General features: G+C 39.2%; 1 protein-coding gene across 2 annotated transcripts in view, besides 1 other annotated feature; it reads left to right on the plus strand.

Moving 5' to 3' along the window:
- PHF24 (PHD finger protein 24) overlaps positions 1–18,869 on the plus strand; it is a 316,938-nt gene that overhangs the window by 98,482 nt on the left and 199,587 nt on the right. The window lies entirely within an intron of this gene.
- Positions 2,863–3,365: an enhancer, noted in NCBI's record as "H3K27ac-H3K4me1 hESC enhancer chr9:34766948-34767450 (GRCh37/hg19 assembly coordinates)". NCBI's record gives its function as "activates a minimal SCP1, AML or CMV promoter by ChIP-STARR-seq in primed H9 embryonic stem cells {active_cell/tissue: H9 hESC(primed)}" and the evidence as "EXISTENCE:reporter gene assay evidence [ECO:0000049][PMID:30033119]".

An 18,869-nucleotide genomic window follows, 5' to 3' on the forward strand; every position in this document is an offset into this window, starting at 1 on the left:
ATTCGGTTTGCCAGTATTTTATTGAGGATTTTTGCATCAATGTTCATCAAGGATATTGATCTAAAATTCTCTTTTTTGGTTGTGTCTCTGCCCGGCTTTGGTATCAGGATGATGCTGGCCTCATAAAATGAATTAGGGAGGATTCCCTCTTTTTCTGTTGATTGGAATAGTTTCAGAAGGAATGGTACCAGTTCCTCCTTGTACCTCTGGTAGAATTCGGCTGTGAATCCATCTGGTCCTGGACTCTTTTTGGTTGGTAAGCTATTGATTATTGCCACAATTTCAGAGCCTGTTATTGGTCTATTCAGAGAGTCAACTTCTTCCTAGTTTAGCCTTGGGAGGGTGTATGTGTCAAGGAATTTATTCATTTCTTCTTGATTTTCTAGTTTATTTGCGTAGAGGTGTTTGTAGTATTCTCTGATGGTAGTTTGTATTTCTGTGGGATCGGTGGTGATATCCCCTTTATCATTTTTTATTGCGTCTATTTGATTCTTCTCTCTTTTCTTCTTTATTAGTCTTGCTAGCGGTCTATCAATTTTGTTAATCCTTTCAAAAAACCAGCTCCTGGATTCATTAATTTTTTGAAGGGTTTTTTGTGTCTCTATTTCCTTCAGTTCTGCTCTGATTTTAGTTATTTCTTGCCTTCTGCTAGCTTTTGAATGTGTTTGCTCTTGCTTTTTCTAGTTCTTTTAATTGTGATGTTAGGGTGTCCATTTTGGATCTTTCCTGCTTTCTCTTGTGGGCATTTAGTGCTATAAATTTCCCTCTACACACTGCTTTGAATGTGTCCCAGAGATTCTGGTATGTTGTGTCTTTGTTCTCATTGGTTTCAAAGAACATCTTTATTTCTGCCTTCATTTCGTTATGTACCCAGTAGTCATTCAGGAGCAGGTTGTTCAGTTTCCATGTAGTTGAGAGGTTTTAAGTGAGTTTCTTAATCGTGAGTTCTAGTTTGATTGCACTGTGGTCTGAGAGACAGTTTGTTATAATTTCTGTTCTTTTACATTTGCTGAGGAGAGCTTTACTTCCAACTATGTGGTCAATTTTGGAATAGGTGTGGTGTGGTGCTGAAAAAAATGTATATTCTGTTGATTTGGGGTGGAGAGTTCTGTAGATGTCTATTAAGTCCGCTTGGTGCAGAGCTGAGTTCAATTCCTGGGTATCCTTGTTAACTTTCTGTCCCGTTGATCTGTCTAATGTTGACAGTGGGGTGTTAAAGTCTCCCATTATTATTGTGTGGGCGTCTAAGTCTCTTTGTAGGTCACTCAGGACTTGCTTTATGAATCTGGGTGCTCCTGTATTGGGTGCCTATATATTTAGGATAGTTAGCTCTTCTTGTTGAATTGATCCCTTTCCCATTATGTAATGGCCTTCTTTGTCTCTTTTGATCTTTGTTGGTTTAAAGTCTGTTTTATCAGAGACTAGGATTGCAACCCCTGCCTTTTTTTGTTTTCCATCTGCTTGGTAGATCTTCCTCCATCCTTTTATTTTGAGCCTATGTGTGTCTCTGCACGTGAGATGGGTTTCCTGAATACAGCACACTGATGGGTCTTGACTCTTTATCCAATTTGCCAGTCTGTGTCTTTTAATTGGAGCATTTAGCCCATTTACATTTAAAGTTAATATTGTTATGTGTGAATTTGAACCTGTTGTTATGATGTTAGCTGGTTATTTTGCTCGTTAGTTGATGCAGTTTCTTCCTAGCATCGATGGTCTTTACAATTTGGCATGATTTTGCAGTGGCTGGTACTGGTTGTTCCTTTCCATGTTTAGTGCTTCCTTCAGGAGCTCTTTTAGGGCATGCCTGGTGGTGACAAAATCTCTCAGCATTTGCTTGTCTGTAAAGTATTTTATTTCTCCTTCACTTATGAAGCTTAGTTTGGCTGGATATGAAATTCTGGGTTGAAAATTCTTTTCTTTAAGAATGTTGAATATTGGCCCCCACTCTCTTCTGGCTTGTAGAGTTTCTGCTGAGAGATCCGCTGTTAGTCTGATGGGCTTCCCTTTGTGGGTAACCTGACCTTTCTCTCTGGCTACCCTTAATATTTTTTCCTTCATTTCAACTTTGGTGAATCTGACAATTATATGTCTTAGAGTTGCTCTTCTCGAATGGTATCTTTGTGGTGTTCTCTGTATTTCCTGAATCTGAATGTTGGCCTGCCTTGCTAGATTGGAGAAGTTCTCCTGGATAATATCTTGCAGAGTGTTTTCCAACTTGGTTCCATTCTCCCCGTCACTTTCAGGTACACCAATCAGACATAGATTTGGTCTTTTCACATAGTCCCATATTTCTTGGAGGCTTTATTAGTTTCTTTTTATTCTTTTTTCTCTAAACTTCCCTTCTCGCTTCATTTCATTCATTTCATCTTCCATCACTGATACCTTTTCTTCCAGATGGTCTCATCAGCTCCTGAGGCTTCTGCATTCTTCACATAGTTCTCGAGCCTTGGCTTTCAGCTCCATCAGCTCCTTTAAGCACTTCTCTGTATTGGTTATTCTAGTTATACATTCGTCTAAATTTTTTGCAAAGTTTTTAACTCTTTGCCTTTGGTTTGAATTTCCTCCTGTAGCTCGGAGTAGTTTGAGCGTCTGAAGCCTTCTTCTCTCAACTCGTCAAAGTCATTCTCCGTCCAGCTTTGTTCCGTTGCTGGTGAGGAGCTGCATTCCTTTGGAGGAGGAGAGGTGCTCTGCTTTTTAGAGTTTCCAGTTTTTCTGCTCTGTTTTTTTCCCCATCTTTGCGGTTTTATCTACTTTTGGTCTTTGATGATGGTGATGTACAGATGGGTTTTTGGTGTGGATGTCCTTTCTGTTCGTTAGTTTTCCTTCTAACAGACAGGACCCTCAGCTGCAGGTCTGTTGGAGTTTGCTAGAGGTCCACTCCAGACCCTGTTTGCCTGTGTATCAGCAGTGGTGGCTGCAGATCAGTGGATTTTCGTGAACCGCGAATGCTGCTGTCTGATCGTTCCTCTGGAAGTTTTGTCTCAGAGGAGTACCCGGCCATGTGAGGTGTCAGTCTGCCCCTACTGGGGGGTGTCTCCCAGTTAGGCTGCTCGGGGGTCAGGGGTCAGGGACCCACTTGAGGAGGCAGTCTGCCCGTTCTCAGATCTCCAGCTGCATGCTGGCAGAACCACTGCTCTCTTCAAAGCTGTCAGACAAGGACATTTAAGTCTGCAGAGGTTACTGCTAACTTTTTGTTTGTCCGTGCCCTTCCCCCAGAGGTGGAGCCCACAGAGGCATGCAGGCCTCCTTGAGCTGTGGTGGGCTCCACCCAGTTCGAGCTTCCAGGCTGCTTTGTTTACCTAAGCAAGCCTGGGCAATGGCGGACGCCCCTCCCCCAGCCTCGCTGCTGCCTTGCAGTTTGATCTCAGACTGCTGTGCTAGCAATCAGCGAGACTCCGTGCGCGTAGGACCCTCCAAGCCAGGTGCGGGATATAGTCTTCTGGTGTGCCGTTTTTTAAGCCCGTCGGAAAGGCGCAGTATTAGGGTGGGAGTGACCCAATTTTCCAGGTGCCGTCTGTCACCCCTTTCTTTGACTAGGAAAGGGAACTCCCTGACCCCTTGCGCTTCCGGAGTGAGGCAATGCCTCGCCCTGCTTCGGCTCGCGCATGGTGCGCTGCACCCACTGTCCTGCGCCCACTGTCTGGCACTCCCTAGTGAGATGAACCGGGTACCTCAGATGGAAATGCAGAAATCACCCATCTTCTGCGTCGCTCACGCTGGGAGCTGTAGACCGGAGCTGTTCCTATTCGGCCATCTTGGCTGCCCCCATTGTCAGTTTTAAATGTAAATATCAGAGCACTTCACTTTCATGCGGTATCACTAACATTACAGAATTCATATTCTGGATGCGTGCACATCTACCGACACTATGGAAGTCAGTGGCTTCCATAATATGCTTACCTTGTACTCACTTTGAGTCTTGCTGAACTCAGACATTGGTCCACCAGAATTCTGTGTTCATGGGGCATTGCAAATGCTATATTTGAATGGTGACAGACATATTGCATCTATCTCCTCTGCTCATGCGCATACTACATTATTTCACTGGACATGGCTACAAATGACAAGTTCAAAGACAAAATTAGACTCTGCACTCCCAGAGCTTATTCTCTTTCAGAGGTTATGGGCAATGGGAAACACATTCAGGGATATTTTAGGGCTATCCCATGCAAGCTGTTTAAGAAGCTTGAATCTGGATCCGGCCAAAACCACAGACTACGGCTCAAATATGGGCCTCAGCAAGACCAGAGTCCTTCTTTTCTGGAAAGTTACAGCAAAGGGCACCTTATGCTATTCTGGGGTGTATGTAACTAGCATGGTAGTTGAGTGGTTTCTTTGGAATTAGACCTAGATTTGAATCTTACTTTTACCACTTTTTTTGTGACCTTGGGCAATTTTTTTCCCTTTCTGCATTTCAGACTTTTTAAAAAATCTGTAAAATGGAGCCAATAGTAATATCAACTTCACAGAATGCTTGTAGGATTAAATGGGATGTTGTAAATTAAATTTAGCACTGTGCCTGGCGTACGTTGGTGGCTATAATAGAAGAAAAGCTATGACAAAACACAAACCTAAGGAACACTCTCACTAAAGACTTCTTCTGGCCCCGCTACCTGCTTATCTTGCTCTTCATTGCCTTTGTTTGGTAGAGAGTGGAGTGAGCAACACAACTGGAAAACAGGAAGAAATTGAAAGCATTAAAAAATGGTAAAATGAAAGTAAAACTGTCACTATTGGAAAGTGGTATGACTGTATTCCTGAAAAACCCAAGGTAATCAACTAAAATTTACTACTACTAGTAGGTGGGGGGAGAGAGAGAGAGAGGGAGAGAGAGAGAGAATTCAGTCAGGTAGCAGAATATAAAAATTAATATGCAGAAATAAAAAACTTTTGTGTATACAAATGACAATTAGAAGATATATTGGAGAAGAAGGTCCCCTTTACAATAGCAACACAAGGAATAAATACCCAGAAACAAAATATGTAAAACCTTTTTGAGAAAAAAGGTAAATCATTTTCAAATATATAAATGCAATCCTTTTTTTGGAGACAGAATCTTGCTCTGTCACCCAGGCTGGAGTGCAGTGGCGCAGTCTTGGCTCACTGCAACTTCGCCTCCCAGGTTCAAGTGATTTTCCTGCCTCAGCCTCCCTAGTAGCTGGGATTACAGGCACCCAACACCACGCCTGGCTAATTTTTGTATTTTTACAAAATGCAAAATAGGGTTTCACCATGTTGGCCAGGCTGGTCTTGAACTCCTGACCTCAGGTGATCCGCCTGCCTCGGCCTCCCAAAGTGCTGGGATTACAGGCATGAGCCACCATGCCTGGCCATAAATGCAATCTTGAACAAATAGATATACCATATTCTAAGGGATAGAAAGACTCAACAATTCTTCCCAAGGTAATTTATAAACTAATGTGATCCCAACAAAAATGCCAATAGATTTCTCTGGTTAGGGGGCCCAATTAGACAAGCTGATTCTAAATTTATGGTTGAAGGTAAGCAAAAATATCCAGGAAAACTCTTAAAAGAAAGAACTATGATAGCACTGAGATTAGTGCTGTCAGTTAATAAGAGACTATATAGTCTTAATAATTAAAACAGTATGGTACTTATGCATAAACTGACAGACAAACAGAGCAGAACAAAATATCCAGGAATAGAGCATGTATGTATTAGTATACGAGAGAGGTAGCATCTCAAATCAGTAGAATAAACATATATCTTTTGAATAAATGGTTTTAGGACAACTGGCTTGCCTTCTTGAAAAAGATAGGCAAATTCATAGGTTGTATCATATACTTGGGTTAACTTCAAATTAATAGAGGATTTAATTTGAAAAAATCATATATAAATAGTGCTTACATGAAAATAGTAGAAGAATACATGGAATGATTCTTTTAGAACCTTATTGAGAGGAAAGACTTTTTAGTTAAGACAATGAAACCATAAAATAAAGGATTAATTTATTCTACTACATAGAATAAATATAGTGTGTTTTGCATAGTATAACACACTATAAGCAAAGCCAAAAGACAAACTACAACCTGAAAAAGTTGCAAACCTTATTAGACAAAACACTGATTTGCCTTATATGTAAAGAGTACCCAATGATCCAACAGAAAAATTGGCAAATGACATAAACAGTCCACAGAAAAAGAAATACTAATGACCCCTAAAGACATGAAAAGATGGTCAAACTTATAAGATAGATGCAAATTAAAATCACACCTTTTTTCTCACAGCAGATTGACAAAATTCAAAAGTTTCATGGCACACTCTTTTGGCAAGATGAGGAGCTACTGCAATCTCACACTTCATTGGTGAGAGTGCAAAATAGTACAATTCCTGTGGAGAAAAATTTTAGAAGTATTTATTATTAATTTCAAATATATTTTCCTTTTGACCCAATAATCCCAATTCTGATAATTATTCTCACATTTAAGTCTGTCTTGACAACAGCTTTTCAGAGGACCCAAATTAACACATACCCTTTGTGTGTGAAAGGTGGGAAAAATAAGAATATATTCATATTTGCCTATATTTTATACAAAAAAACACCAGAAAGATATAGAAGAAAAGAAGTTAGGGGAAGCAATAGAAACGGGATGGCGGTATGGGTTAGGTGGAGAAAGGGAAGAGGGCAACACTTTTGAAACCGTGTGAGTGTATTATCTATGCAAAAAAAAATTAAAGTCTCTTAAGGTAACTCTTGGAGAAAGATTTTTAAAATTTATTGTGGCCGGGCATGGTGGCTCATACCTATAATCCCAGCACTTTGGGAGGCTGAAGTGGGTGTATTACTTGAGGTCAGGAGTTAGAGACTGGCCTGACCAACATGGTGAAACCTCGTCTCTACTAAAAATACAAAATTAGCCAAGCATTGTGGCGCATGACTGTAATCCCAGCTACTCGGGAGGCTGAGGCAGGAGAATCACTTGAAACCAGGAGGCAGAGGTTGCAGTGAGCCGAGATTGAGCCAGTGCACTCCAGTGTGGGTGACAAGAGCAAAACTTTGTCTCGAAGTAAATAAATAAATAAATATCTATTGTGAAATACAGTCATGTGTCACTTAGTGACGAGGATACATTCTGACAAATGAGTCACTGGACAATTTCATTGTTGTGCCAGCATCATAGACTGTATTTACACAAACCTAGATGGTATAGCCTACTACATGCTGAGGCTATATATTGCGTAGTCTATTGCTGCTAGGCTATAAATCTATACAGCATGTTACTGTACTGAATACTGCAGGCACTTGTAACAAAATGGTAAGTACTTGTATGCCTGAACATAGAAAAGGTACAGAAAAAATACAGTTTAATCTTACGAGACCACCATTGTGTATGCAGTCCATCATTAACCAAAAAGTTATTATGTGGTATATGACTATAATTATAGACTCATGGAAAATTACAAAGATAGTACAGAGAGGACATATAAGCCTTTTGCTTGGGTTTTCCCCAATGGTTACATTTTATATAACTATAATAAAATAATCAGAACCAGGAAATTTACATTTATATAATGTATGTGATTACTTTATGCCATTTTATCATATGTGTAGATGTGTGTAACCACCACTGCTATCAAGGTACAGAACTATTCCATCATTATAAATAATCAGGAGAAAGATTTTGATTGTACATTCTAGAGAGAAACCTAACAGCTGCGGTGTTAGGAATTTAGGTCTGAACCAGGGCTCGAACCCAGAATGATTTGTTTTAAAGAAAACATTTTGTGGTGCATTTCTCCAAGGGTAAGGTTGCGGAGGCTTCAGTCAAACAGATCAATAAAATGTCCCTGTCCCCATCCTCATTTTGAGATTGGCTGAGACATGCTAGGATTTAAGATTAAAAGCTGTGTTTTATTATGGAAATTCATCAAGATAATAGCCGTTAAATAACACCAGGTGCTAAATATTAAGAGAGCTAATTTGAAAGCTGATTCTTAATTCTGAACATTAAATCAGCCTTACAAAGGTTTCAGCTCAGGTTTCAGCTGAGGTTTCAGCTCAGATTTCAGTATCTTTATGCCATAAGAACAAGTTATAATGAATTAAATTAAACTCCCCAAGAGACTGATTCCTAGGATCAGTCAACAACGCCTAAGAGCCTTGCTGATGGGAATGTGAGTTGTAAAAACTCTTCTGGAGGGAAATTTCCTTAGAGATATCGAAGGCTTTAAAATATGCCAATATTTAGACTTAATAATTTCACTTTTTGAAATTTTTCCTAAGGAAATAATTGTGTGTATAAAAATTGATTACCTAGTATGTTCATCAAATGATTTATGAGAAGAAAACTGGAAACAACCTACGTGACTGGTTTGAACCTAAAAGGCTAAGGACTTGCAGAGAGGAAGGTCGGACAAAAATCTTTTATGGAGTAATAGTTAGCTATGTGTATTCATACAAGATATATAAAAAATGATTAAAGAAGAATGAATAAAAATGATTTAAAAATGACAAAGTAGGTAAATAAGTAGGAAAATAAAAATGGAAAATATTCTTTCCATACATGAATGCACATTTAATCTCAAAATTCTATTTAAAATTACACATTAAAAAGGAATCCTCACTGAACTAAATGTAGTAAGTGGATGATGGAGTGTGGAGCCAGGTTTCTTACGACTGGAGTGGGAATTTGCAGATGAGCAGGGGAGGAGGCTAGCATGATCCATGTACTAGTGGATTACAGTTGGCAATACCAGTATAACCTCATGTTTAGCTTAATATAGATACATATGGTTACAAATAGAAATATGTAGAAATATTTACAAATATGTGTATATATACCGGTTAGTATACATACCTATTTCCTTGCTCTGTCAGCTGAGAGGATCTAAAAGACCAGGAGCACCAGTAGCAATGAGCATATCTAGCTCTCAGAGTTCTGTTTTTTTTTTTTTTTTGAGATGGAATTTTGCTCTTGTTGCCCAGGCTGGAGTGCAACGGCGCGATCTCGGCTCACCGCAACCTCCGCCTCGCGGGTTCAAGTGATTCTCCTGCCTCAGCCTCCCAAATAGCTGGGACTACAGGCATGCGACACCACGCCCAGCTAGTTTTGTATTTTTAGTAGAGATGGGGTTTCTCCATGTTGGTCAGGCTGGTCTCGAACTCCCAACCTCAGGTGATCCGCCCATCTTGGCCTCCCAAAGTGCTGGGATTACAAGCATGAGCCACCGTGCCCGGCCCAGAGTTTGGTTTTTAATACCATCCTCCAATAAAACGAAGCAGGGCTTCTTAGAGAAATGGCTGATTTTAGGACTGGGTCAGAAAACATGCAAGATGAGCTTGAAGCATCTTCTAGTGCCAGAAAGAAACAAGTGCTAAAAAAAAAAAAATTGGTGGAGATGTCAAAGGAATTCAGAAGTCAACTGCAAGAGTTCCCAATGACTAAGCCTGGAATAATTTGAGAAACAAAATAAACAAAGCAATGTTGGATTACAATCCAAAGGATAAAACAAATATCACAAGTCTACACTGATATAAATAAATGATTGAATAAACAAATAAACGGGGAGAATAAATAAGTAAACGGGAGAGAAGAGTGTGTACCCTTGATATGATATGATGAAAATGGCATTTTAGATTTGTAGTCTTTCTCCCCAGAACCCATAACCCCAGTCTAATTATGAGAAAAACATCAAACAAATTCCAGTAGAGGAGCCTCCTGCAAAATATTTGACCAATATTTCTCAAAACTGTCAAGGTCGTAAAAAACAAGGAATATCTAATAAACTGTCACAGGCAAGAGGAACCTGAGGATTTATGACAGCTGAATGTAATGTGGGGTCCTGGATGGGATCCAGGGATGGAAAATAGCATTGGGTAAAAACTAAGGAAATCTGAGTAAAATGTGGATTTAATGAATAATGATGTATCAATATTAGTATATTGATGATAGCAAATGTACTATACTAATGTAAGATGTCATCAACAGGTGACTACATGCAAAAATGCAGCTGGACCTTTAGCTTATACCATACACAGAAATTAACTCAAAATGAGTCAGAGACCTAAATGTAGAGCTAAATAAGACTCTTGGCAGAAAACATCAGGGAAAAATTTTATGACATTGGATTTGGCAATGATTTCTTGGCTATGACACCAAAAGCACAGATGATACCAAAAGATAAAGATGTAACTTAAACTTCATCAAAATCAAAAACTTTTGTGCATCGAAAGACACTATCAACAGAGTGAAAAGTCAACCCACAGAATGGGATAAAATACTTGCAAATCATATATCTGATGAGGGATTGCTATCCAGAATATATGAAGAACTCCTACAACACACAACAAAAACAAAAAAAACAAACAATCCAATGTGAACATGGGAAAAAGACTTGAGAAGGCATTTCTTTAAAGAAGATATAGAAATAAGCCAAACCAGCTGGGTGTGGTGGTTTACGCCTGTAATCCCAGTACTTTGGAAGGCGGAGGTAGGTGGATCACCTGAGGTCAGGAGTTGGAGACCAGCCTGGCCAACATGGTGAAACCCTCTCTCCACTAAAAATACAAAAAAATTACTGGGAGCGGTGGCGGGCACCTGTAATTCCAACTATTTGGGAGGCTGAGACAGGAGAATCGCTTGAACCTGGGAAGCAGAGGTTGGAGTGAGCAGAGATTGTGCCACTGCACTCCAGCCTAGGCGACAAGAGTGAGACTCCATCTCACACATACACAAAAAAAAGCCAAACCACACTGAAAGATGTTTGATATCAGAAATTAATAGGGAAATTATGCAAATCCAAACAACAGTGATTTGTACTTCACACCCACTAGGATGGCTAATATTAATAATAATAATAATTGTTGGTGAGGATGTGCAGAAATTGGAACCCTGGTGCATTGCATCTGGAAATGTAAAATGTTACAGTTGTTGGGGAAAACAGTATGGTAGTTCCTCAAAAAATTAAAGGATTACCATATGATCCAGCAATTCTACTTTTGGGAATATACCAAGAATAATTGAAAATGGGAACTTGAAGAGATATTCGTACATCCATTTGTAACAGTATTGTTTACAATAACCAAAAGGTGGAAACAATCCAAATATTCTTCAGCAGATGAAGAGATAAACAATATATATAATAGAATATTATTCAGCCTTAAAGAGGGATGAAATTCTAATACATGCTACAACATGGATGAACCTTGAAGATTTTATACTAAGTGATATAAGGATACAAAAGGACAGATATTATATGATTCCACTTATGTAAGGTACCTAGAATAGCCAAATTCATAGAGACAGAAAGAATACTTGTTAGCAGGGACTGGAAAAAGGGAGTAATGGAGAGTGATTGTTTAATGTGTACAGCGTTCCAGTTGGGATAATGAAAATTTCTGGATATGGATGGTGGTGATGGTTGTACAGCAGTGGGAATGCACTTAATGCCAGTGAACTGTACACTCAACAATGATTAAAATGGCAAATTTTATGTTTTGTATATTTTACTACAATAAAAATATATATGCAATTGGGTGTGAGGTACATGGAAACTGTACTATCTTCTCATTTTTTCAGTAAATCTAAAAACGTTCTAAAAATAAAATCTATTTTAAAAAAATTAATCCTTGTTTCTAATCCTTGTTTCCCAAAGGGTTAAACATAGGTACCACAGGACTCAGCAATTCCATTCCTAGATATTCGCCCAAGAGAAATGAAAACATATGTCCACACAAAAATTTGTACACAGATACTCATGACAGCATTATTTATAATAGCCTCCAAATGAAACCAACCTAAATGCCCAGCACTGAATATCCATTCATTGTTGTATATCCATATATGGAAATATTATTTGGCAATAAAAAGGAATGAAGTAGTTATATATGTTGCCACGTGGATGAACCTTGAAAAGATGCAAAGTAAAAGGAGCCAGTCAGAGAAGACCACATACTGTATGATTCCACTTATATAAAATGTCCAGAATAGGCAAATCTGTGGAGATAGAAAATAGATTAGTGGCTGCCAGAGGCTGGTTGAAGGAAATTTTAGGAGTGATTGCCAACGGGAATCACCGGAGTTTCTCTTAGAGGGATGAAAATATTCTAAAATAATTTTGGTGATGGTTGCAAAATTCTGAACATACTAAAAATCATAGAATTGTATATTTTAACTGTACTCTTAAAACTTACTTTTAGGATGGAAATTCCACAACTGGAGAAGTAATCCAAGATTACATGCCACTGTTTCCACCCAGAACCTTGCTCTGGAACCCCAGTAATTTATAAATTTGGCTGCTTTATGGTGTCCCATATGTCATGGAGGCTTTGCTCATTCTATTATATCCTTTTATTTATCTGACTGGATTATTTCAAAATACTTATCTTCAAGTTTAGAGATTCTTTCTTTGTTTGGCCTAGTCTATTGTTAAAGTGTTTGAATGTATTTTGCATTTCATTAAATAAATTATTGAGTTCCAGAATTTTTGTTGGTTCTCGTTTATATTTATCTATCTCTTTAGCAAATTTCTCATTCATATCCTGAATTGTTTTCTGATTTCTCTGTATTGGTTTTCAGAATTCTCTTGTATCTCACTGAGCTTCATCTAAATCAATAATTTGAATTATTTTTCTGAGATCTTGTGAATTTCTTTTTAATCATGATCTGTTGCTGGTGAATTATTGAATTCCTTTGGAGGTGTAACATTTCCTTGTTTTTTCATGTTTCCTGTGTCCTTACATTGATGTCTGCACAATTGGGACAACACAATTGGGACAACACAATTGGTCCCTCTTCCAATTATTTGAATTTACTTTCATAGGGGAGGACTTTTTCCTGAAGATGTATCTAAGGTGTTGGTTTGATGACACACTATGGCTTGATTCTGGGTGCATGCAGTAGCATAGTCTTTGTATGATTTATTTGGCTGTAAACAGCATCAGTGGTATCTGTAATTTCCTCAGTGGCTTAGGATGCAGTTATTAGAGGAGGCAGTGAAGATTTTCTGGGGATGGGGATGCCAGGTAAGGCAGTCTTTGGGCCCCATTGGTGGCAGCAGTAGCTGAGTGTGTCTGTTCTTGGGCCCCAGGGTGGTATATGCTTGTACTGGTTTTAGGGGGTCCAGGTGGGCTGATTCTTGGGCCTCTATGTGTCTTACTCAGATGTCAGTAGTGGCAGCAGTAGGCTGGGTGGGTGGGGAGGTTCTCAGGACCCTGGGAAGCCAGCATGGTGAGGGTGATGGCAGTGGTGGGATGACTCTCTGGGCCCTGGTTGGTGTGTGCTGGCATTGGTAGTGAATGTGATGGTCTGGGCAGGCCAGTCTCTAGGCCCACAGGTAGCCTGGGAGGAATGTTCAGATGCCAATGGTGGTGGATTGGGCTGGGAGATCCCTTAGCCCCCAGATTGTGGCTAGGGCGAGGGCAGTGAAGTTGGGCAATGGCCGTACTGATACCCTACTACTAGGGAGGGTGGTGCTGCCCTCAGTGGTGGCAGCCTAGGCCAGTGGGTGGAAAATGCATGCCTCTCACATTTCAATTCTGGTGGTACTTGTGCCTCAGCCCTTGCTGCAGTAGCAAAGTAGTGCTTTGCTCATGCCTCAGTCCCAATGGAAGTATCTCAGCCCTCAGCCTGGGATGTGGTAGCCCATGGTAGCTGGTGCCTAATTCCTGGGGACAGAAGCCCATGCTTCTCTAGTGCCTCAGACCCAGCGCTGCTGAGCTCCAGGACAGTGTACTGTCTTTTGAGGGTGAGGCAATTTTCTGTAGCTGTTTAGGTCTCAGGGACCCAATGTTAGCTCCCTCCCTGGAGCAGTGTCATTTCACAATCTCCTGTCAGCTTCCTACTTTAGTTTTAGGGCCCACAAGGGTCATGGGACTCTCCAGTGGCTAGGATTGCAGAAGTCTGTGGTGGTAATGTGGATTGCTGAGGGTCTCTCACTTACCCTTTCCCCACATTGGTTTCTAGCTAATTCTGGCCAATCGGGCTGCCATGCTTTGTTTTTCTTCCTTGCTTTAGGTATTACCTGTCACTTTTCTATTGGATTCCAGTGTTCTCTCTTGGATGATCTATTCAAAGTGTGATTATCTACTCACTATTTTGGTTCTTCTTAGTGGATAAGGTGTGAAATGTCTCTCATCAGCCACAGTAAGGAGGAACAGAAGAATAAGAAAGACATGAGACACGTACAAAACAAAAAGCGTAATGGCAGACATAAATCTAACCATATCAATAATAACATAAAAGTAAATAGATTAAATAATTCAATCAAAAGGCAGAAATTGTCAGATTGGGTTACAAAAATGAGATCCTGCCTCATGATGTCTAAGGGAGATGTATTATAGACAAAGGTACAAATAGGTTGAAATAAAAGGATAGCATAAGGTGTACCATGCAACTAGCAACCATAGGAGAGCTACAGTGGGTTATACTGGTCTCAGACAAAATAGACTTTAAGACAAAAATGCCATTAGGTATAATGGACATTTTCATAATGATAAAAGGGTCAATCCCTCAGGAAGATGTAACACATATAAATGTATGCGTATTTATACAGAGTCCCAAAATACATGAAGAAAAACTAACAGAACTGAAGGGAGAAATAGACATTTCAACAATAACTGTTAAAGACATCACCTACTTTGAATAATGGATAGAAAAGCTAGAGATAAAATTAACAAGGATACAGAAGACATAAACAACATTATAAATCAACTAGACCTAAGAGACATCTATAGAATACCCCACCCAACAGCAGCAGAATACACATTCTTTCCCAGTGCACCTGGAACAGTCTCCAGGAAAGACCATTTGCTAGGTCATAAAAAAAGTCTCAATAAATTAAAGTGATCAAAATCACAGAAAATATATTCTCTGATTACAATGGAATGACATTAGAGATCAATATCAGAAGGAAATTTGGAAAATTCACAAACATGTAGATTAAACAACATACTGCTAAATAAACAGTGAGTTAAAGTAAAATCATAAGGGAAATTACAAAATACTTTGAGGTAAAGATAACTACCAAAACGTATGGAAAGCAGCAAAAGCAGTGCTGAAAGGGAGTTATAGTGATAAACATCTATATTAAAAGAGAAAAAAGATCTCAAATCCATAATTTTCCACCCTGTGAAACTGGAAAAAGAAGAGCAAACTAAATTCAAGGCAAGCAGAAGGAAGAAAATAATAAAGATTAGAGCAGCAAGAAATGAAAGAGAAAATAAAAGAATAGAGAAAAATCAACAAACTCAAAACTTGGTTCTTTGAAATGATTAAATTAGTAATTAAGAAGCTTCCTGCAAAGAAAATCTATGTTTTCTTTAACTTTCCTATGTGTTTCTACGTTGAGGATCAGAAGACTTAATATTGTTAAGACGGCAATGCTCCCTATATTAATCTACATATTCAACACAATCCTTATCAAAATTTCAGTTGAATTTGTTGGAGAAATTGACAGGCTAATCCTAAAATTTAGATGAAATTTTAAGAGACCCCCTAATGGCCAAAACAATCTTGAAAAAGAAGAACAAAGTTGGAGGAATCACACTTCACAATTTCAATACTTACTACAATTCTACAGAAATCAAAATATTGTTTTACTGGCATAGTAGACATATAGACAAATGGGAGAGAATTGAGAGCCCACAACTAAACTCTCACATATATGGTCAATTGTTTTGTTTTGTTTTGTTTTGAGATGGAGTTTCACTCTTGTCGCCCAGGCTGGAGTGCAATGGCGCGATCTTGGCTCACTGCAACTTTTACCTCCTAAGTTCAAGCGATTCTCCTGCCTCAGCTTCCTGAGTAGCTGGGAGTACAGGCGCCTGCCAACACGCCCCGCTAATTTTTGTATTTTTAGTAGAGATGGGGTTTCACCATGTTGGTCAGGCTGGTCTCGAACTTCTGACCTCAGGTGATCCACCTGCCTCAGCCTCCCAAAGTGCTGAGATTACAGGCGTGAGCCACTGTGCCCAGCTGGTCAGTTGATTTTTGATGAGGGCCCCAAGACCACTCAAGGACAGTCTTTCAACACATAGTTCTGGGAAAACTGGATCTCCATAGGCAAAAGAATGAAGTTGGACCCTTACCTTACACGCTGTACAAAAAGTAACTCAAAATGGATCAAAAACCTAAATTTAAAAGCTAAAACTATAAAACTCTTAGAAGAAAATATGGGGAGAAATCTTTATAGCCTTAGATTTGGCAATGTTTTCTTTTCTTTTCTCTTCTTTCTTTTTTTTCTTTTTTTCTTTTTTTTTTTTTTTTTTGAGACAGTCTTACTCTGTTGCCCAGGCTGGAGTGCAGTGGTGTGATCATGGCTCACTGCAGCCTCCACCTCCTGGGCTCAAGTGATCTTCCCGCCTCAGCCTCCCGAGTACAGGAGCACACCACCACACCCAGTTAATTTTTGTATTTTGTAGAGAAGGGGTTTCACCATGTTGCCCAGGCTGGTTTTGAACTCCTGGGCTCAAGCAATCTGCCTGCTTCAGCCTCCCAAAGTGTTGGGATTATAAGCGTGAGCCACTGCACCTAGCTGGCAATAGTTTCTTAAATATTACACCAAAAGCACAATAAACGAAGAAAAATAGGTAAATTTGATGTCATAAAAATAACATTTTGTGCATCAAAGGACAGCATCAAGGGAGTGAAAATCATTTGACAAAAGCCCAGCATTCAGAACATATAAATAAATCCTACAACTCAACTACAATGGCAAAATAAACCCCAACTTTTAAAATGGGCAAAGGATTTGGATAGACATTTTTCCAAAGAAGATATACAAATGGCCAGCAAGCACATGAAAAGATGCTCAACATCATCATTAGTCATTAGGGAGATGCAAATCAAAACCACAGTAAGGTACCCCTTTCACAATGAGATACCACTATCACATATACTAGAATGTCTATAATAAAACAACAACAGAAATTAACAATTATTAATGAGGATGTGGAGAAACTAGAACCTTTGCGCATTGCCAGTGGGAATGTAAAATAGTGCTGCTGCTGCTGTGTAAAGCAGTTTGGCAATTTTTCTGAAAGTTAAACATTGAATTACTATATTCCACTCCTAGGTAAATACCCAAACTAACCGAAAACAGGAATTCAAACAGATATTTGTGCATAAATGTTTATAACAGCATAATTCAACAATAACCAGAAGATAGAAACACCCCAAGGTCCATTAACAGATGAATAAGTAAACAACATGTGGTATATAGATATAATAAAATATCCAATCATAAAAAATGAAGTTCTGAACCTTGAAAATATTACACTAAGTGAAATAAGTCAAACAAAAAGGACAAATATTATATGATTTCATTTGAATGAGGGACCTGTAATAGGCAAATTCATAGAGACAGAAAGTAGAATAGATAACCTAATGGTTTGGAGGCAAGGAGAGCGGGGAATTATTGCTTAAAGGAAACAGAGTTTTTGTTTGGGTTGGTGAAAAAGTCTTGGAAATAGATAATGTGACGGTTGTACAACATTGTGAATGTAACTAACATTACCGAATTATACATTTAAAAATGGTTAAAATGGCACATTTTATGTTATCTATCATCACCACAACTTAAAATAATGAATAATAGAGCAAAACCCCTTGAATTGTACACTTTAAATGGCTGAAGTTATGGTATGTGGATTATATCTCAGTAAGGCTGTTAGGGAAAAAAAAAAAAGCATTGTAGGAAGTAGTTGGGAAATGTGTTAGTTCAACCCCATCATTTTCTGTAGGGGGAGAAAGCAGCAACAATGCATGTGCCAGTGAATTCCACTCTTGCAATCAATAGGTTGGTAAGTACAGCAGTTATCTGCAAAACTCTGTATTATTTCTATTATTAATGTGACATTTCCCAGGCACAGTAAGAATAGAAGGGCTGAAATTACATTCATTGTCCCCACATGGGAGAGAAGAACCTCCTGAAATCATGGGTTCTAGGCAAAAATGTCCAAATCTCCACCCATAATGGGACAGGAAGCAGGGTACATGAGCTAGCTCTGGAATGTGAGATTCTTTCCTGAAGAAGGAGGAATGATGAAACTGAGGGAGTAAATGAAGTCCTCCAACTTGCACGAGAGCTGGGTTACAAAACTCACTGAAGTGCTCAGTGGATAATTATTAGTGGAGATCACAGAGGCAGTTAGCAAATCAGTGGATGGTCACATGTCAGAGGCCTGAAAAATGAGAGCAAGACTCAGTGATTTTGGGGTAAGTAGGGTAGAGGAGGGACAGGGGAGGATTTCTCAGCAATTTCGTATAATAATAACCACTCGTGGTTTGTTTTCTGGTAGACACACATCTCTCAACAATTCATTAGTTCACTCCATCCACAGCTCCTCTATTCTCTAGCAGTTTGCCTCCCTCACCCCACCAAATCCCATACCCCGCTTATGAAAAGTTGAGGATTATTTCTTGGACTGATTCAAGGTCACAGAGATATTTGAATGCCATATGGCTAAAAATACAGATCCAATCTGCCTTCCAGTCCAGTGACTCATCCTGTCACTAGAGGTAGAGAGCAAGAGCATGAAGTGGAAGTACTAGACTTCCAACAGCGATATAGACTACTCCAATCCCTGAGGCAGAGGTAAGGGTCTGACTTAGAGAGGCATTTATGAATTCATGGGAAGTAGCTCTTCTTCCATGTTTGGAAGAGCTTCTCAAACATGCCAAGTCTTATGCAAAACAAACTTGAGAAAGCTCCACACCCAACCTACTGTTTGATTGGGAGAGGCCTACATAGCAGTGGTAGGGTTTGGGGATGGGGTAGGATGAGGGATGGATCCCTGCTCCAAACCTATATCTTTAAGCTAGTCTGACTTATCCAAGCACCAGGCATCAGAAAAGCCTCAAATACTTGAACTCCAATCCCAGAAAACATCCATCTAAGCCCTTCCTGAT

Source organism: Homo sapiens, chromosome 9 (genome assembly GCF_000001405.40).
Source record: "Homo sapiens chromosome 9, GRCh38.p14 Primary Assembly".
NCBI lineage: Eukaryota > Metazoa > Chordata > Mammalia > Primates > Hominidae > Homo > Homo sapiens.